General features: G+C 43.6%; 1 protein-coding gene across 4 annotated transcripts in view, besides 1 other annotated feature; it reads left to right on the top strand.

Moving 5' to 3' along the window:
- The window catches only part of TBX5 (T-box transcription factor 5), a 54,532-nt gene extending 52,056 nt beyond the window's left edge, over window positions 1-2,476 (top strand). For 3 of the 4 annotated variants that reach the window (NM_080717.4, XM_017019912.2, NM_181486.4), the window contains one exon: window positions 281-2,476. In NM_080717.4, coding sequence (NP_542448.1) covers window positions 281-855 — 575 coding nt within the window. In that variant the 3' untranslated portion in view covers window positions 856-2,476. The remainder of the gene's footprint in view (window positions 1-280) is intronic. The other variant, NM_000192.3, reaches the window with a different exon arrangement.
- Window positions 20,047-20,547: an enhancer, noted in NCBI's record as "NANOG-H3K4me1 hESC enhancer chr12:114773645-114774145 (GRCh37/hg19 assembly coordinates)". NCBI's record gives its function as "activates a minimal SCP1, AML or CMV promoter by ChIP-STARR-seq in primed H9 embryonic stem cells {active_cell/tissue: H9 hESC(primed)}" and the evidence as "EXISTENCE:reporter gene assay evidence [ECO:0000049][PMID:30033119]".

Raw genomic sequence — 21,195 nt, 5'->3', positions numbered from 1 at the left:
AATTCTCAACACTGCCCTTTGTAGGAAGTGCTATTTCCTACCCTTTCCATCTTACAGATGAAGAAGCTGAACCCAGAAAGGTCAAACTGTTTGCATAGAACTCCATAGCCCAAGGTCTTAACCATTACAATCCAACCCCCTTTTTTTGTATTCAGAATGGCGGTTAGGGCTAACAGTCTCTCAGGACTTATTCTTCAGTACTTTGGCCAAATAACTGTCTCCACTTTTAGCTGCCTGGTGCCTGCTCCTGGCCTCACTGCTGTCTCTCCTGTCTTCACAGAGGAAGAATGTTCCACCACAGACCATCCCTATAAGAAGCCCTACATGGAGACATCACCCAGTGAAGAAGATTCCTTCTACCGCTCTAGCTATCCACAGCAGCAGGGCCTGGGTGCCTCCTACAGGACAGAGTCGGCACAGCGGCAAGCTTGCATGTATGCCAGCTCTGCGCCCCCCAGCGAGCCTGTGCCCAGCCTAGAGGACATCAGCTGCAACACGTGGCCAAGCATGCCTTCCTACAGCAGCTGCACCGTCACCACCGTGCAGCCCATGGACAGGCTACCCTACCAGCACTTCTCCGCTCACTTCACCTCGGGGCCCCTGGTCCCTCGGCTGGCTGGCATGGCCAACCATGGCTCCCCACAGCTGGGAGAGGGAATGTTCCAGCACCAGACCTCCGTGGCCCACCAGCCTGTGGTCAGGCAGTGTGGGCCTCAGACTGGCCTGCAGTCCCCTGGCACCCTTCAGCCCCCTGAGTTCCTCTACTCTCATGGCGTGCCAAGGACTCTATCCCCTCATCAGTACCACTCTGTGCACGGAGTTGGCATGGTGCCAGAGTGGAGCGACAATAGCTAAAGTGAGGCCTGCTTCACAACAGACATTTCCTAGAGAAAGAGAGAGAGAGAGGAGAAAGAGAGAGAAGGAGAGAGACAGTAGCCAAGAGAACCCCACGGACAAGATTTTTCATTTCACCCAATGTTCACATCTGCACTCAAGGTCGCTGGATGCTGATCTAATCAGTAGCTTGAAACCACAATTTTAAAAATGTGACTTTCTTGTTTTGTCTCAAAACTTAAAAAAACAAACACAAAAAGATGAGTCCCACCCCCCACTACCACCACACCCATCAACCAGCCACATTCACGCTACTCCCCAGATCTCTTCCCCCATTCCTTCTTTTGGGCTCTAGAAAGTCTTGCCTCATTGAGTGTTTTTCCCTAGTGCGTAGTTGGAGTCTGTCCCTGTCTTGGTGTTAATGTTGACATTGTTATATAATAAATGATAATATATTTTTTTCTTTCAATTTTCTTAATGGGACCCAGTCCCTTATTTGGGGGGAGGTCTGAGGCAAGTATATTTCAAAATATGTACTTGCGGGATTCCCTTCAAGTAAACCATCCCTGAAACCTAAATTCACGTTTCCCCTTGACTAAGAAAAGCACCTACCTCTGCCATGTGATGTTTCTGAAAAGCCTCTGTATGTCCCCATTTGCTTTGGTTTTGTCCTGCCTTCTCCAATATCACGTGCTCAGTTTTGCCTCTACTTACCCATGGAGTCAGGATAACACTGACGCTCCCTGGCATCCTATCTTATTCAGCCCTACCATCTTGCCAGCTCTGTCTTTCCAGCTGTCTGTCGCTAAAACGTGGCCTATAGCTTCCCTTCCGGAAAGCTTGCTTTGAAAAACTTAAAAAGCCCCCGTTTACATGTAGGCAGGACTGTGATAACAGTGCAAGCTCTGTGTTGACAAGAGTTGTGGACAAAAAGCCAAAATAAATATTCTTCCTGATTAAAAAAATTTTTTTTGAAAAAAACAAGGCCAGCCCCAACCTTCCAAACCTCCATCACCAACAACCCAAACTGGATGTCAAGCAAAATGCACAATTCCTACAGAAGAGGCAAGACACAGTCACCAATGATATCTCGCCAAAGAAACCACGCCCACACCAATGCCAACACAAAACTGTGTTTACTGAAAGCCGAAAACAGTATTAAAAAAAGTGTGTAAGTAAAGTGTTATGGTAGGGTTCTTCAGATGTAATATTTTACTGGTACTATTTATTTATAAATAGGAATTCTAATTAAGTAATAACATGAAATGAAACCCAGCATAGGAGCTGGCCAAGAGCTTTTAATTTTATTGATACTCAAAACCAAGTTTGTGTTTTTTTGTTTTTTTTTGTTTTTTTCCTCTTTCGAATGTGCTTTGCTTTTTTTGATTAAAAAGAATTTTTTTTTTCCTTTTTTATAAACAGACCCTAATAAAGAGAACAGGGTAAGATGTGAGGCTGAGTGTGTTTAAGTACGTGAGAGAGTGTGAGTGTGTTTGTAAGTGAGTGTCCCTATGCGATTATGTCTCTTTACGTTGCTAAGGGGGGAGGGTGAGGATTAAGTACTCGTGCCTTATATTTGTGTGCCAATTAATGCCTAATAAATACCATGTGCTTAAACAAGTACAAGGAAGTTGAACACCCATTTTTTTTTTTTCCTGTTCTTTCTACCGACTGAATAGAGGGGATAGGAATTGGAGGAAACAGGAAGAGGTTGTCTTGCATGTGAATTTCTCACCTCACGTGATTTCTCATGCCCATCGCAGGAGAATTTGGGATCCATTGTCCTTGAGTGTGATGAAGCTGAATATATGATCCACTGGTTTATATCCTTGGAATGAGGTTACTTGTTTTAATGGAATTTGTGTAGGCACTGGAGAAGAAAAGTCTTTAGGAATTCCAACCTATTTAAAATGGTATCGGTCATATTATATGTAACACCTAATGTTTGGGTTTTTCAAGAATCTCTTTCTCTGAATTAATTGTTGGAGCCAGGCGTTTTGGGGGTTCTACTGCAAATAACTTTATGAACCATCAGTGAATCAGATATTGATTTTAAATCCATGGATCTAGGATTTGTGAACTTGAGCTCTAAAACACATATGGGACAGAAGAGAGCAGCAAATTGGTGAGTACATTTGTGCAGCAGATTTGTTCTGTTTTTGTAATTTTGATGCCCGCATCCCTCAAATTATCAAGAGCTATCAAATATGCCACATCCCCTTGAAAAAGAAACAATTGGCTTGTTGATTACAAGTTATTCATTTAATCAGGTCCCCTGGGACCTTTCCCAGGCAAAGAAGCCCTGAGAAGTGTGAATTAATTATAAAGAAATGACAATTCAGCTTCTTTCAAGTGCAATGGAGAAACTAGGTCAATGGCTTTCCTGTTCCCCCAAAGGACTGCATTAGTAAAGTTTCACTGAACAGGTTCTGACTGTGCTCCAAATAGATATTTATTCTGATGGGTTCAGTTTAAAAAAAAAAAAAGTTGCCTTTGAAGACATTGCCTTTGAAACTAATTTTATCAACTCTATACAACAGTCAGTCTTATGCTTTCAGAGGAACATCATCCAAATTAGGAATCTGCATCCCCACCCCACCACTCAAACAGTTGCCACCATTGGAAAATCATTAAAAATATGTTCACAGCAAGTTTCACAAATCAGACAAGGGACACTGTCATTTCATAACCAATACAGGTTAACCTCTTTGGGTTCTAAATGATTGTTATAGTGGATCTTTTCACTGAATCAGTAGGATTAAGGATGCAATGTCCAAGAGTTAATGTAGTTTCATCATGGTGTTGATAAAACCATGGCAAGGCACACAATGCACATTGTTACAGTCCTATAATGTATTTGGTGGGTGCTTGCTTTAGACTGGACATGTGGTAAGTACCGGCGACACAGCAGTGAACAAAAAGAGAGGGGCTGTGTCCTTTGGAACTTATGATTTAGTGAGAGAGAGAAATAGCCCTTAGGAAATTATGTGCATCCTCAGTGGATTGCAGTGGTGGAAATTACTACAAAGACAGAGTGCCCAATGGCATAAAGGGATAAGGCAAGGGGTCCTAACCCCATCTGGGGGAGGTGACTCTTGAGCACAGCCCTAATGATGAGTAGGAATTAATCAGGTAAAAGTTTGGGAGGAAAAGTATTGCAGAGAGAGGGAACAGCTTGTGCAAAGTCCTGAGGCAGAAATTGTGATGGAGGAATGAGATGTAGGTTTGTAAGTGGGTAGTAATCACCTAGTTCACATGCCTTCATTCAGTAAACAGGTAGGAAGGTTCTACTATGTGCGGTCGATATCTTTACTCATACAGGACCTACTAATTGTGATAGGCTCCTTTCCAGGTAATTTCTAAAGTTGCAGAGGACAGACTCTGGATGTGTGAGATGGTAGGTTTTTTTGTACTCAGGAATATTACAGCATCCGCCTGGCTTCCTGGTCCTCTACAGTTTAGGACCCAAGCTTATAGGACAGAAGAAACACAAGAACTTTCAAGAGGGTCAGCTCATTAGTATTCTTGAGCTCAGAGAGGTTGAAAATTCCCCCCCCAGATTACACAGCTGGTGTGTGGCAGGGCTTACCGTGAAACCTAAGTTAGCCCAAGCCTTAAGTTTCCTCCTCTATAAAAAGGAGATAATTGGCTGGGTTTGGTGGCTCATGCCTGTAATTCCAACACTTCGGGAGGCCAAGGACGGAGGATTGCTGAAGCCCAGGAATAAGCCTGGGCAATATAGCAAGACCCCTGTCTCTACAAAAAAAAAAAAAAAAAACAGAGAAGATATTCTACATGCTTCAAAGAACTGTTGTGCATGTAGGTGAGATAATATCTGTGAAAGTTTCCAGCAAAGTATGTAACACAGCAGATGTTCAGTAAATGCTTGAAAGACTTTATTTATTTATTTATGGTTTTTTTTGAGACGGAGTTTTGCTCTTGTTGCCCAGGCTGGAGTGTAGTGGCGCAATCTCGGCTCACCACAACCTCTGCCTCCTGGGTTCAAGTGATTCTCCTGCCTCAGCCTTCCGAGTAGCTGGGATTACAGGCATGCGCCACCACACCCGGCTAATTTTGTATTTTTAGTAGAAATGGGGTTTCTCCATGTTGGTCAGGCTGGTTTCGAACTCCCGACCTCAGGTGATCCACCCACCTTGGCCTCCCAAAGTGCTGGGATTACAGGCGTGAGCCACTGCACCAGGCCGAAAGACTTTAATCAATGGAATTCAAGTTAAATATAATTTTTTAAATCATTGACTTGGCAAATGTATATTTAAAAAATAATATTACCTATTGCTAATGAGAAAGTAGAAAATCTCATAAACTAATGGTTGGGAATACAAACTAGATAAACCTTTGGGAGGGGAGAGTTTGCAAAATGTATCAAAAGTCTTAATGTGCAAATCATTTAGTCTGATAATTCTGCTTTGAGGCATTGGTCGGAAGGAAATAATCAGAGATGTATATAAACATTTATTTTCTGGGAAGTCTATCATGATTTTTTAAAATCATGCAAAATAGGAAACAGCCTTAATATCCAATAATATGGAGTTGGTTAAATAAATTAGTGCATGATGAAATACCACATGGCCATTAAGAAACACATTTGTGGGCCAGGTGTGGTGGCTCATGCCTGTAATCCCAGCACTTTGCAAGGCCGAGGCAGGCAGATCACCTGAGGTCAGGAGTCCACGACCAGCCTGGCCAACATGGTGAAACTCCATCTCTACTAAAAACACAATAATTAGCTGGGCGTGGTGGTGCACGCCTGTAATCCCAGCTACTCGGGAGGCAGAGGTTGCAGTGAGCCAAGATCATGCCACTACACTCCAGCTGGGATGACAGAGTGAGACTCCGTCTCAAGAAAATAAAAAAAGAAGAAACACATTTGTGGAGAAGATGTTTAAAATTCACTGCAAGCTAAAGAAGCTTCAAGTAGCTTGCACAGCAGCTTCTCAATTTGATTAAACACACCAGCATACATTCACACTTGAAAGGAAACAAAAGCACTCTTAGGATGTATAACAATAACAGTGATGGGATTGTGGGTGTTCAAATTTTCTTTGTTCTTTTGGGATGTCCCAGTTTTCCTCATGATGAAGATGAATTATCTTTGTAACTAGAAGTAGAATTAGTAAATAAAATCTAGCTTGTTGTTTGTTCATTGAAATGAGTCTGTGAGAAAAATGGGACACTCCTGTCTACCTTGAGGAGGAAGGGATGAAGCTCCTGTAATGAGATACATTGGCCCCATCAGTGACAGAGCTGGGTACTGGTACTGATCAGCCGACTGCTCATCATGGAATGCTCCATATTCAACTCAAAAACAAGGTGATGGCTGGATACTTCTCTTTGTCTTCACTTTCTGAGATTGCTACTTGTGTGCTTTCTTTTCTTTTTTTTTTTAATTTTATTATTATTATACTTTAAGTTTTGGGGTACATGTACTTTCTTGGTCCTCTTGGGAGGTTAGGCTATGGTCCTGGGATGAGCTATTATTCCCTTTTAATAAACACAACACACGTATTGAATCAGGCACTCATTTATCTCACCTTTGTTCTCTAATTGAACTGGGTTATAAAATTCACTCTGTCATTTACTGCCTTTGTGACCTTGGGCAAGTCTCTTAACCTCTTTGACCTTCCATTTGATCATATGTAAAATGGGGTTACTACAAGTATTTATCCCAGAGATTCCTCGTTTGTCTGAGGATTCAGTGAGACAATGAGCATAAAGTGCTTAGCACAGAGCCTGGTGTATTAGTCTGTTCTCAGCTGCTAATAAAGACATACCTGAGACTGGGTAATTTATAAAGAAAAAGAGGTTTGATGGACTCACAGTTCCACATGGCTGGGGAGGCCTCACAATCATGGTGAAAGGTGGAGCAAAAGCCCGTCTTACATGGTGGGAGTACAGGGAGCTTGTGTAGGGGAACTGCCCTTTATAAAACCATCAGATCTTGTGAGACTTATTCACTATCACGAGAACAGCATGGGAAAGACCCACCCCCATGATTCAATTATCTCCCACTGGGTCCCTCCCAGGACACGTGGGGATTATGGGAGCTACAATTCAAGATGAGATTGGGGTGGGGACACAGCCAAACCATATCAGCTGGTATAGAGAAAATGCGCAACAGCTGTTAGCTCATGAAAACATTAACTAGGATTTATAATTTTTTTTTTTTTTTTTGGAGATGGAATTTTGCTCTTCTTGCCCAGCCTGGAGTGCAATGGTGCGATCTCGGCTCACTGAAACCCACGCCTCCCGTGTTCAAGCAATTCTCCTGCCTCAGCCTCCTGAGTAGCTGGGATTATAGGCATGTGCCACCACGCCCAGTTAATTTTGTATTTTTAGTAGAGACAGGGTTTCTCCATGTTGGTCAGGCTGGTCTCAAACTCCTGACCTCAGGTGATCCACTAGCCTTGGCCTCTCAAAGTCCTTGGATTACAGGCGTGAGTCACCATGCCCAGCCGGATTTATAATTATTAATGCTGCTGCTTCTTGTCTTTCTCCTCTTTCTTCTCTGTTGGAAAATTTGCCCCTATAGTCTTCTACTATTTTTATAATACACCTAAGCTCAGTAGAGGCTAGAAAACATCACCATCAACATCCTCACCACCACTGCCACCACCACTACCATCATCAGTATCATCACTTTCAACAATAATTAAAACATAGCTTTCCCACAGGCATCATCTTAAATCTTATTTAAATATCTGACTTTAGGCCAGGTGCAGTGGCTAATGGCCCACACCTATAATCTCAGCACTTTGGGAGGCTGAGGCAAGAGGATAGCTTGAGGCCAGGAGTTCAAGACCAGCCTGGGCAACATAGCGAAACCTCATCTCTATAAAAAATTTTAAATTAGCCAGGCATGGTGGTATGCACCTGTAGTCCTAGCTATTTGGAAGGCTGAGGCAGGAGGATTGCTTGAGTCCAAGAGTTGCAAGTTCCAGTGAGCTATGACTGAGCCACTGCACTCCAGCCTGAGTGACAGAGGGAGACCCTCTCTCTCTAAAAATAATAAAATAAAATAAATAGCTGCTTTTGTAAGTGACTGTCAACTTTGGACCTTGGTGGCCACAAAGAAGGAAGAGTAGGTTTTATGTCTCTAAAGACTGATTATCAGCACCTCACCTTTTCTTTTCTGACTTCAACTTCAGAACTCCTTTTTTTTTTTTTTTTTAGAGATGGGATCTTGCTTTGTTGCCCATGCTGCTGGAGTGCAGTGCCAACTCACTGCAGCCTCAGCCTCCTGAGCTCTCAAGTGATCCTCTCACTTTAGCCTCTCGCATAGCTGAGACTATAGGTGCGCACTACCATACCTGGCTAATTATTATTATTATTTTTTTAAGAGGTGAGTTCTCACTATATTGCCTAGGCTGGTCTTGAACTCCTGGCCTCAAGCAATCTGCCTGCCTCAGCCTCCTGAGTCACTGGGATTACAGGCAGAAGCCCACTCGCCTGGCCAGAATTCATTATTATTCCACTTAGAAAGAAGTCATGCATGTTAATCCTAGTGAATATGTTGGTTTAGGCATACTTGGTTCCAGTTCCTGAAACTGTGAGTGTTGGGGTGGAGGAGACAGCCTGGTGTGCAAGTTGAAGATTGTTCCTGGCAGAGTTTTGATATTTTACTGATGTCCCTCCAGTGTTGATAATAGTAGTGGCAATAGCAATAATAGCTTTCATTTATGTACCATGTGCTAGTCCCTATACCAAGCAACATGGTGATTGTCCAGTGTTACCCAGCTCATGGTGGCTTGTCTTCCATTCCACGCTGCCAAGACTCCTTTAGGGGATGGAATGATTCATGTCATCTCTGTCCTTTCCCATGGGCCTAAGAGAGGGAGGGACAGAGGGAGATGGTGGCTGGAGTGTGACAGAGCAGTGCTTTTGGGTGGCATGTCCTTGGAGATGTCAACGTCAGGACAAGTAAAGGAGGATTTGTAATCTTGTGGCTAAAGACTGCCTTCCTGGTCTTGGAAGCCCAGCTAGCCCTCTAGTGTGTGAGCAAATTATTCACTTGCCCCAAACCTCAGTTTCCATCTCTGCAAAGTGGAAGTGGTAAGATCCACTTTGCAGGCCTGAGGTAGTGATAAAAGGAGAGAGTTTATGTAAAGCAATCAGCAGGGCATCTGGCCCTCTCTACACATTTAATAACAGAGGCTTAAAAACTATAACTTCCCTCAGGAAGACTTTGCCATCCTCATGACACAACCTCATGACATAACGAATTAGGAGAATCTTCTCTCTTTTGTTTTTTTTTTAAACATTAATCACAGTTAACATTCCTTCCTTCCTTCCTGCCTGCCTGCCTGCCTACCTTTCTTCCTTCCTTCCTTTTCTTTTTTTTCTTTTTTTTGTAGAGATGGAGTATCATCATGTTGCCCAGTCTGGTCTTGAACTCCTGAGCTCAAGTGATCCTCCCACCTCGGCCTCTCAAAGTACTGGGATCTTCTCATTTATTGAACTGTAGATATTTTCCTGGGACCAAGAGAGCTTCATGGAGGCAGGATTGATCCAGTATTAATTGCTTGTATTTTCACCCTGGAAGGTGTTCACTATGATCTGAATAAATGGATTAAGAATGACTCACCAGATGTGCTCATTGGAGGACAGGGTTCTACATGTCGAGGTTGCTGTAGCAGAGGATTCCTGTGCTATGTCTTGCATCCTCTCTGCCCACCTCTAATTTCAGACATAGGGCAGAAGGCTCAGTGCATGCTGACAGCATCCCACCTTGAGCTCCACCACAAATCTGTTTTTCTGCAGCAGGGCTATCTCTAAAGATGAGAGGCTCCCTCGGCCTGAATGCAGGCACAGCCCAGAAATAATGACTCTGGGAACACTCTCTGTAGAGTGGGTGGGGAGTTGGTGGATAGAGGCCTCAGCCTCCTGTCCTTTGGAGGGACAGTTTGGAGGTACATTCTACACAATTCCTCAGAGGGTCCTCAGAGGCCTGCACTCTGGTTGCACACAGTGGTAATCAGCTCAATAACTCAATCACTTGGCTTTTTCTCCTTTCATCCTTCTTCCTCCCCGAGATCACCTTCCAAGTCCTCCCAAATCCTGCCCTCAGGGTGAGCCCAAACTAAGGCAGGGTCTTACCAGCTCTTACTAGGCCTTCCTTGACCAGCCTCATTGTATTCTCTCCCTTTTTCTTAAGCTTTCTTTCTTTTCTTTTCTTTTTTTTTTTTTGAGACACCCAGCCTGGAGTGCAGTGGCCCAATCTTGGCTCACTGCAACCTCCGCCTCCCAGGTTCAAGCGATTCTCATGCTTCAGCTTCCCAAGTAGCTGGGATTACAGGTACGCGCCACCATGCCTGGCTAATTTTTTTGTGTGTTTTTAGTAGAGACGGGGTTTCGCCATGTTGCCCAGGCTGGTCTCAAACTCCTAGCCTCCAGTGATCCACCTGCCTCTGCTTCCCAAAGTGGTGGGATTACAGGTGCGAGCCACCGTGCCCAGCCTCTCTTAAACTTTTTATTTTGAAATAAGTGTAGATTCACATGCAGTTGTAAGAAAACACAGAGAAATCCCATATACCCTTTACCCATATATCATAATACCTTGCAAAACCTTAGCACAATGAGGATATTAACACTGGTACAACCACCAATATTATGCAGATTTCTCCAGTTTATTTGTACTCACTTGTGGGTGTGTGCATTTAGTGCCATGCAATTTTATCACACATGTAGTATCTTCTACCACAGTCAAAACACAGAACATTTCCATCACCAAAACGATCTCTCGTGTTACTCTTTTATAACCACATACAACCCCTGCAACCCTATTTCTAACCCCAGACAACCACTAATTAATCTGTTCATTTCTATAATTTTATCCAAGAATGTTATATAAATAGAACTATAGAGAATGTTATATAAATGACAAGAATGTTATATAAATAGGACTATTTCAAGAATGTTACATAAATAGAACTATACAGTATATAAGTTTTGGGCGGTTGGCTTTTTTTCATTCAGCATAATTCCCTTTAGATTCATCCAAGGCATTGGGTGTATTAATAGCTCATTCATTTTTTTTTTAAATCACTGAGTAGTATTCCATGGTATAAATGTACCTTCTGGCTGTCTCCTCACATGGTCTCTTCTCTGTGGGCACATGAGGGTGGGAAGGAGAGAGAGACAGAGAGAGAGAGAAGAGAGAGAGAGAGATCTGGCATCTCTCCCTCTTTCTGTAAGATTAGGGAACCCTCTTATGACCTCACTTGACCTTCATTACCTCCTTAAGGCCCCATCTTCTACTACAGTCATATTGAGGGTTGGGGCTTCAACATATGAATTTTTGGCAGTGGGGGCTGGGCAAAATTCAGTCGGTAACTGGCAGGCTGTGACTCTCAGGTATGGCCAAAGCTGCTGTCCACAGGCATAATTTCTTCTTTCTCTTTAGGGAAGCCTCAGCTCTGCTTTTTAAGACCCCACACGAGCTCTCCCATCTAAGGTCCTTCCTGTTGCAGGCAAATTCTGAGCTCAGCTGTGATGTGAACTCTCAACCCCCATCTGATGAAGTGGGACAGACACTTAGTGGATGTCTCATGCTGGAGAGCAATTCACTTAGCCTTTGCTTTATGTTACAACTCCAAAACCACTGGGAGAGGAGTCCCTGTTTTTATCCCCAGGGTCTGAGGCCCCTGGAAATGTCAGATATTATCTTCTACAGAGTTTTGAGAAGGGGAAACTGAGGCCTGAGTATCTCCAGAGTGGAGTCAGTGACTTGCTCAAGGTCATAGGGCTGTTTAGTGGCAGAGATGGGGCAAAAACCTGGGCAAAATTGTACTTGTTCTGGAACTCTTGCGTGACTGCCATTGGGTGCCTTGTGACTTCCCTGAATCCATTTCCTCTTCTTTTGGAGATGCCACCCCAATTGTTTTGGTGGGAGGCATTTATCTTTCTCTTTTTATGACTGATCTTGGCAGGTACGCAGATGTTGTCAGTGCCTGGTCCTATCTGCTGGGCCCATCCTCCAGGTCTCCTGCAGCTTCAGTGTGTAGCTCCCATGCAGGCCAATGACTTCCTACCTCCAGCATCTATGTCTCTCTGCCTGAGGTCTTTCTCTGGCCACAAATGTGTAATTGGCTTGTGTGTGGGTCAGGCTATAAATGCCAGAGAATTAAGGCCTCCTAGAGTGTCCCCCAAGTAATGAGAGATGGGAGTTGGTATGTAAATATCCAAGCCTTCTGTCCCCTTGGTGGGAAAATTTTTAGCATGTTCCACACACTTTCAGAGGGTCTCCAGCAGGGATCAGTTGCAAGCAAGCCTCAGTTGCACACAGAGGTGACCTACTCATTAGCACATTACTATCATAACACATTGGCTTCCTTCCCTTCCTCGTCTCATTTCCCAACCCCTTATCCAAATAAAATGCTGCATCCAAATCCTCATCTCAGGGTATGCTTTAATAAGAAAGCAAAGCTGTTAACCAGAGAGCTTTCTCCTCCTTAGACAAGGGGCTAGGAGTAGCTGACTCATGGCAGCTTATAGACTTTCTTTCCCAGAGAGAGAATCTTGAGTGGAGAAATAAACAGACCAAAACTACTGGTGCTCATTTAGTCCCTAACAAAACTCTTTTTAGTTCCTCTGATCCAGATCCCCAAGATTGCCCTTTGTTATGATTATCTTTGAGTTCCCTTTCAAATCTTTCATTCACAGTTTTACAGCTTGTGCACAGCACAATCCTAAGGGTAAGTCACTCACACTGATAGTCCATCTCAATGGTGCCTCTTGGAGTTGCGCAGTGCACAACCCACCCAACTGTTCATGTGGTTCTGTGCCATTGTATTTTCGATACATTCTCTTCTTTCAGGTTGTTCTATAGCTGATAAAAACTTTGATATGAAAATAACTTCAAGATCTTCTGTCCCAGCCCTTTGCCTTTTGTAAGTTAATATCTAAGCCCTGGGAATGAGATAGTTGTGGCGTGGTTGCATCCTGCTGAAATACAATTCAGATATTCTTCAGGTTAAAGTTTGTCCAAAAACAAGAGTTCTAATGAGAAAAATTCAGCTACTACAAGGGAAAATTGGGGTAGAAGATTTGACTTTGCTTTCTCAATACCAATTGTATAAGGAAGTTGAGACTTATTTTCTTGCTACTTTCATACACTTGAAACAAGCAGCCAGAAACCTAGCTATTATCAGTGGACTTTTCTAGCTCTTTCTGCTACCTGTCTCCTTGCTCTAGAGAAAAATACAATTGAAGGGAGAAAAGAGAGAGAGAGAGAGAAAGGAACTCAGTAAAAGCTTTTACATTGCTCTAATTTCTGAAACATAAAAGCTATTCTTTTAGAGTAAATCCATTTTTTCCCAGTGGCATTATGGATAGAGAAATTCCTAGGAAAATAATTTGTCAAGTCCCGACTGATCAAAGATACATATGAAAGAACCCCACTTTTTTTTCTTCCCAAGGAAAAAACCAGCCCCCATCTAAGCTCAGAATGAATTGGCAATTCATTTACCGACTGTCAGATGAAGTAGCACAATCCCCATCACATCTTTAGCAGGGACGGGACCAGAAGGAAGCAATTCTGTGCCCACCGAGTGTACAAGCTGGGGGTATGTTAGTGATTAAGGGATCCTGGCCTGGGGGAGGCAGAGAGATATGACTCAGATTCGCCATTGCACCATAAATCTCCCTCTTTTATTCAAAATGTGTGTTTTATAGTCGTTTCCTGGCCAATTGCTGCCTTGAATAAATATATAACATATAACTTAGCTTTTAGGCCCAGAGCTGGGGTTTGTCTTGAGGGCCAAGTATTCTTGATATTTCCAAGAGCAAGCAAGGAACAAATAATGAGGCGCCCTTTTCTTCCTGACTCACCAGCCACATCCTACATCAAAAATAAAAATAGCAGTCAGTGCTAATTGGGCCAAGAAAGACAAAGCAACACCTGGCCATTGGAGCTAACTTCTTGTGTTCTGCAAATAGGTTGCTATCCCCACCTGCTCACTCAACACCCCTCCACTAGGCACACCCCAAAGAGGCTGCAACCTCTGAGCATCATTGACTGCATTTGGTTAGATCCACTAACTCAGACATTTGGCCCGAAGATCTTGGCTTGAAGGATCAAAGGTTTACAAAAATAGGTTTTCAGGAGATTTCCATTAGTTCTTGAAACACCAAAGCCCGAGTTTCCATCCCATTGCACTGAGGCTGCCCTTTTCAGAGGTGGGGAAGGGAGAAGACCAATGACTTCACTCAATCTTTTCTTCCCCTTTGCCATCAACTATAATGGGGTGTGGAGCAGAAGACCCGGAGTGCTCCCAAAGCCCTGTTTATTTTGGGCTGATTACATGCTAAGCATTTTATATGATTATCATGCATAGGTCTCAAAACTGCCTTTAAGCTTTTTGGAAGTCAGAGCCAGAGGGAGACCTACTCAGTTAAAGGATTCCCAATATAGCCCTGTGAGGTGTGTAGGAAAATATTCTTATCCCTGTTTTATGGATGAGGAAATGGAAGCTTACAGGGTTGTCACTTACCTAAGGTCTCATTCTTGGGATAGACAAACACTTTCACTTTCTTCATTCACCATACTAGATACATTTTGTAATGTGCCAAACTACAAAGCCGAACAACCCCAATCCCTGCCCTCAAGTAGATCTCAGCCCAGTGTGACGTGGACTGCTTTGTTTTCTGATTTGTGAGCATTAGCTCAGGGCTGGGCCAGAAGTGGGTGCTCAGACACATTCTGCCTCGTTTCCCTCAGGCTGGCTGATCTAAGTTGGAGAGAATGCTAATTTTGATGAATATGCAGGAGTCACTGAATACTCTTATTTCCTGGCAAAAGTGGCGTTTCAGAACACTTGGTGGTCGGCGGAGATGTTTTGCAGAGGAGAGGGGTAAATCTTGAGTAACCTTCATGTTACAACACCAAGTCAGACCCTTGGTGTGGAGTAAGGCTCAAAAGATAAGAATGAAGGTGTATGAGGTGACTACCTGGGCAGAGCTAATCAGACGGCCTGGAATCGAACCCCACCTCTGCCACTATTCAGTGATGTCAGATCTGGTAAACTTTAATTTCCTGTGCTCCAGTTTCTTCACTTGCAAAATATTGATAAGAGGCTGTTTGTGAATTAAATGAGTGAAGGCACCAGGAAAGAACTATTTGCACAGTGCCAAGCACATTACAAATACTCAGAAAACAGCTTTGGTCCCAGCTGTTGTCTACTTTTTACCTATTTCCATAAATAATTTGAGGCTGCTTGCAAAAATACATGCCACCCACAAAGACGACAATGTACAAAATAGTGATAAAGCCAAGAATAATGAGCACCTATCAATGAGTTCCATTTGGTCTTGTGTGGCATTATTTTTCAAAAGGGCCACAGCAGTATTTTTACACTCCTTCTCCTTCAGAACATGGATGTGTCTATCAAGGGGTGGAATGTGATTCTTCACTTCATTATGGGTGGGATCCAGCAGCTTACTTCTGACAGATAGGATGTAGTAGGGGGTTAATGTTACCCAGCACTAAGAGCTGAGATAAAAATAGACCAGGCACTAGGCTGGGGGAAATGGGGGTTACCTCCTCAGTCTGCAACCCTTCTGAAGCTAGATCATAAAAAGGTGGTACAACTTCCACCTAATTTCCCCCCTTTGGAACACTTGCTGTTGGAAACCCAGCCACCATGCTGTGAGGAAGCCCAAACTAGCCCACAGGGAGAGACCACAGGAGAGGACTACGTGTCAAGGAGTTGAAACCCCTAGCCTAAACCCAACATCCACCATCAGCCATGTGAGTGAAAAGCCTTCAGATTATTCCATCCTCAAGTCTCAACATCATGGTCCAGAGACAAGTTGCCCCTGTTATGCCCTGTCTAAATCGCCAACCTCAGAATCCAAAGGCATAATAAATGGTTGTTTTACACCATGAAGTTTTAGGGTATTTTGCTTACGCCATGAAGTTTTAGGGTATTTTACTTCTTAGCCTTCAGAACTGGAACATTCTGTGTAGTTAATAGAAATATATTTGGCTCTGAGCTTCCTAGCTGCCAAAACAAGTTGAGAATTATAGTCAGCTATAAGAGCTCATGAGTTCATAAAAGACAAACAAATCGAGATGTTTGCAAAAAACCAGGAGCAAGTTCTCCCTTGGGTTCTTGTAAAGATGTTGCAGTGCTGAGTAATGTTTTGATGATGTTTTTCATGATACCATCGTGGTAAACCCAACAGCAAAGATAATAGGACTGTTTCTCCTGGGTTCCCTAGATGTGCTACAAAATCCCAAGTCACAATTTGGGGAAATGTAGTGTTTTGGGGCCAAAATGGTAAGGGCTGGTTATCAAGGTGTGATGGTTAATATTGAGTGTTAACTTGATTAGATTGAAGAATGCAAAGTATTGTTCCTGGGTGTGTCTGTGAGGTGTTGCCAAAGGAGAATGACATTTGAGACAGCGTACTGGGAGAGGCAAACCGAACCTCAGTCTGGGTGGGCACCATCTGATCAGCTGCCCATGTGGATAGGATAAAAGGAAGCAGAGGAACATGGAGAGACTAGACTGGCTAAGTCTTCTGATCCTCTTTCTTCCATGCTGGACGCTTCCTGCCCTTGAATATCACACTCCAAGTTCTTCAACTTTTGGACTCTTGGACTTACACCAGTGGTTTGCCAGGGGCTCTTGGGCCTTTGGCCACAGACTGAAGGCTACACTGTTGGCTTCACTGTTGGCTTCCCTGCTTTTGAGGTTTTGTGACTCAGACTGGCTTTCTTGTTCCTCAGCTTGCAGATGGCCTATTGTGGGACTTAACCTCATGATCCTGTGAGTCAATACTCCTTAATAAACTCTGTTTCATATTTACATCTATCCTATTAGTCCTTTCTCTCTAGAGAACGCTGACTAATATACAAGGTCTCTGCAGGTCTTTTTTTTAAGGCTTAAATTATTTTTATTGATCAAAACATTTTTAAAATTAATTAATTTTTAACTTTTAGGCTTAGGGGTACATGTACAAGTTTGTTATATAGGTAAACTCATATCATGGGACTTTGTTGTACAGATTATTTCATCACCCAGGTACTAAGCTCTCAGTGCCCAGTAGTTATTTTTTCTTCTCCTCTCCTCCTCCCGCCCTCCACTGCTCCAGTGTCTGTTGTTCCCCTCTTGGTATCCATGAGTTCTCATCTTTTAGCTCCCACTTATAAGGGATAGCATGTGATATTTGGTTTTCTGCTCCTTCTGCAGGGTTTTTTTTTTTCTTTTGGTGGAGTCTAGCTCTCCAGCCAGGCTGGAGTTCAGTCGCACGATCTCAACTCACTGGAACCTCCACCTCCCAGGTTCAAGCAATTCTCCTGCCTCAGCCTCCTGAGTATGTGGGATTACGGGCACATGCTGCCATGCCCAGCTAATTTTTGTATTTTTAGTAAAGACAGGGTCTCACCATGTTGGCCAGGATCGTCTCGATCTGCTGACCTCATGATCCACCCACCTTGGCCTCCCAAAGTGCTGGGATTATAGGCATGAGCCACTGCGCCCGGCCTGCAGGTCTTTTAATCTAGGCAGACATTAATAGAAATTGGTCAGCAATTGAGACCAGGTCTTTATCACCTGTACTCAGAGATGAGCCTGTCACAGAGGTGATTTGCAAGCAATGTTTGTTGAATGAATGAAGAATGAATGGCTAAACGTCATTAAAGAAAAACATCATTCATCAATGGAATAGAAGAGGAAACCCAGAAATAAAACAGCACAGCTACAGCCATCTGATCTTTGACAAGGCCAACAAAAACAAGCAATGGGGCCAGGTGCAGTGGCTCACACCTGTAATCCCAGCACTTTGGGAGGCCAAGGTGGGTGGATCACCTGAGGTCAGGAGTTTGAGACTATCCTGGCCAACATGGCAAAGCCACATCTCTACTGAAAATACAAAAATTAGCCAGGTGTGGTGGTGGGCACCTGTAATCTCAGCTACTCAGGAGGCTGAGACAGGAGAATCGCTGAAACCTGGGAGGTGGAGGTTGCAGTGAGCTGAGATCCTGCCACTGTACTCCAGCCTGGGTGACAGAGCAAGACTCTGTCTCATAAAAATAAAACAAACAAAGAAACAAATGAACAAAAGCAATGGAAAAAGGACATCTTATTCAATAAATGGTGCTAGGATAACTGGCTACCCACATGCAGAAGATTGAAGCTGAACCACTACCTCTCACTGTATACAAAAATTAACTCAAGATGGATCAAAGATTTAGAGGTAAGACCTCAAATTATAAAAATCCTAGAAGACAACCTAGGAAATGCTCTTCTTAACACTGATCTTGGCCAAGAATTTTTGGCCATGTCCTCCAAAAGCAATTGCAGCAGAAATAAAAATTGACAAATGGGACTTCATTAAACTAAAGAGCTTCTGCACAGCAAAAGAAACTATCAATAGAGTACACAGATAGCCTACAGAATGGGAGAAATATTCACAAAGTATGCATCTGACAAAGTCCTAATATCCACAATCTATAAGAAACTTAAACAAATCGACAAGAAAAAACGACCCCATTAAAAAATGGGCAAAGGACATGAACAGACACTTCTCAAAAGAAGACATACACATGGCCAACAAACATATGAAAACATGCTCATCGTCTCTAATCATCAGAGGAATGAAAGTCAAAACCACAACGAGATACCATCTCACACCAGTCAGAATAGCTACTATTAAAAAGTAAAAAGACAACAGTGCTGGTGAGGCTGTGGAAAAACGGAACGCTTATACACTGTTGGTGGGAATGTAGATTAGTTCAGCCACTGTGGAAAGCTGTCTGGAGATTTCTCAAAGAACTTAAAATAGAGCTACCATTTGACCCAGCAATGCCATTACTGGGTAAATACCTAAAGGAAAACAAATCATTTTACCAAAAGACACCTGCACTCATATGTTCATCACAGCACTATTCACAATAGCAAAGACATGGAATCAACCCAGGTGTCCATCGATGGTAGATAGGATCAAGAAAATGCAGTGCATATACACCATGGAATACTAGGCAGCCATAAAAAGAATAAAATCATGTCCTTTGCAGAAACATGGATGCTGTTGGAGGCCATAATCCTAAATGAATTAATACAGCAACAGAAAACCAAATACCACATGTTCTAACTTCTAAGGAGGGGCTAAACATTGAGCATACATGGATATAAACATGGGAACAATAGGCACAGTGGACTACTAGAGAGGGGAGGGAGGGAGGGAGGGAAGCATGGGTTGAAAAACTACCTACTGGGTGCTGTGCTCACTACCTGTGTGATGGGATCGGTACCATCAGCATCACGCAATATTCCCATGTAACAAATTTGAACATGTACCCCATATCTAAAATAGAAGTTGAAATTAAAAAAAAAATCATTCATGATGATTGTTCAAGATGGCAAAGCAGCCTGTTCAAGGTGGGGGAACGATCACAATAGGTGCAGGGACCAGTGTGATGGAATTTTGCAGTGGGGGAGAGAGACTGGGCTCAACTCTGAATACAGCATGAGCAAGTGGGAATTTATAGCCAAGAAGCAGGGTTGGGGGTCAGTGGATGGAATATTACTGAAAGGAAGCATTAGGGCTCAGGGCGATTCTGGCTAAACTGACCTAACAGGAGTCTTGCTGAAGACAGACCAGGGTGGTCAGACATCACCTGGGGAGTGGTGGAGGGTGAGGAACCTGGTCACATATGAAGAGGGATCAGATACAGAGAGTGATCAGATATGCAGCGTGAAGATACTGGCTAACCTGACTTAGCAGGGCTCTTGCTAAAGATGGATTTTACAAGGAAGTACACAGATTGGCCCAGGAAAAGATTCAGACACCTGACTAAAGTCTGGTTAAGCCAATGATCTTTGAAAACATCAATTCAGACCAATCATTCACGACACGATTTCTTATCACAGAGGAGATGCAAGAAATACCCTGGTTAGAGGCCAGAAGTCGGCTTTGGAATTTATTTTATTTTTATTATCATTTTTTTTGAGGCAGATTATTGCTCTGTCACCCAGGCTGGAGTGGTGCAGTGGCGCAATCTCGACTCACTGCAACCTCTGCCTTCTGGGTTCAAGCGATTCTCCTGCCTCAGCCTCTTGAGTAGCTGGGATTATAGGTGCCTGCCACCATGCCCGGCTAATTTTTTCTATTTTTAGTAGAGATGGGGTTTTTGCCATGTTGGCCAGGCTGGTCTCAAACTCCTGACCTCCACTGATCCACTCGCCTCAGCCTCCCAAAGTGCTGGGATCACAGCTGTGAGCCCCCACGCCCCACCAGTTTTGTAATTTAGAGAAGTCCAAGTCCTAATCCTACCCAACGCTTCTGATTAGCTCTGTGAACCCAGTCAAGATATTTAACTTTTCTGGGTCTCAGTGTATCTCTGAGACAGGGAGCATACTCATACCTATTTAGTCATATAAAGGATTTTTAAAGGATAATCATGTCTATTTCATAGGGTAGTAAGAATCACAGTGAATTTTTAAAGGACCCATTAAAGGCAGGAGAGCTGAGGTTGGTTTGGCCTTTCCCTTCTGCTCACTCTCTCTATCTTGGGGCTCACACTCTCTCCCGGCCACTTGAGAAAGACAAGTTGCAGTTTCAAGTGGTTCCATTCCCCTGGGAATGGGGCCCCAGGTAGGGAGCCAGCACCAGCCCATCTTTCCAGCACTCAGGGTTGAGCTAAAAACAGGCCAGACTGAGGGTGGAGGAGGGGAGGGGTGACCTCCTCAGTCTGCAAGGCGTCCCTGCTCTTTGGGGAAGTGGGCCAGCCAGGGTGCCCTGTCCTAGAGGCCCTACTTCCTCCCCTCCCCCAGCATCTCCAGGTCAGGCCTCCTCCCCCCCGGAGAGAACTGTAAGTACTTTAGACAACAGGCCGATAGTGTCAGGAGAGATGGATGGGCCAGGGGGCTTATCTTGCTTAAAGAGACACGACTGGCTGGGCCTGTTGCTTCTCCCCCTCCTCTTCCTTCCCAGCCTGTGAATTTGATTTTCTTTTCAACACACGCACACATGTGCACACTAACACACACAGAGTCCCTGGGAAGCCTCTTTCTGTCTCTCAATACAGCTTACCTCATCTTCCTCCCTCTTGTCCACTATTCTCTTTACGTATAAAACTCAGAGCAACCAGGACAGAGGCAGTGATCTTAACGAGACAGAGTAGATTCTGGAAATTCGAGGTGGGGGCAGGAAGAAGGAAGAATCCACCCCTCCCCTTCAGCCGGAATTACTTTGTAAAAAAGGAAAAAAGAAAGAAAGAGAGGAAGAAGGAAATTGAGGGAAAGAGAAAAGAAAAGAAAGAAAAGAAAATCAATTTGTTCTCACTCTTATTTGATAGTCTCATCTACCACCCCAGACCTCGAGACTCATATTCTAGAT

This window comes from Homo sapiens, chromosome 12 (genome assembly GCF_000001405.40).
Source record: "Homo sapiens chromosome 12, GRCh38.p14 Primary Assembly".
NCBI classification, from domain to species: domain Eukaryota; kingdom Metazoa; phylum Chordata; class Mammalia; order Primates; family Hominidae; genus Homo; species Homo sapiens.
Note: the sequence above shows the minus strand (reverse complement) of the source record. Positions and strands in the feature narration are given on the sequence as shown.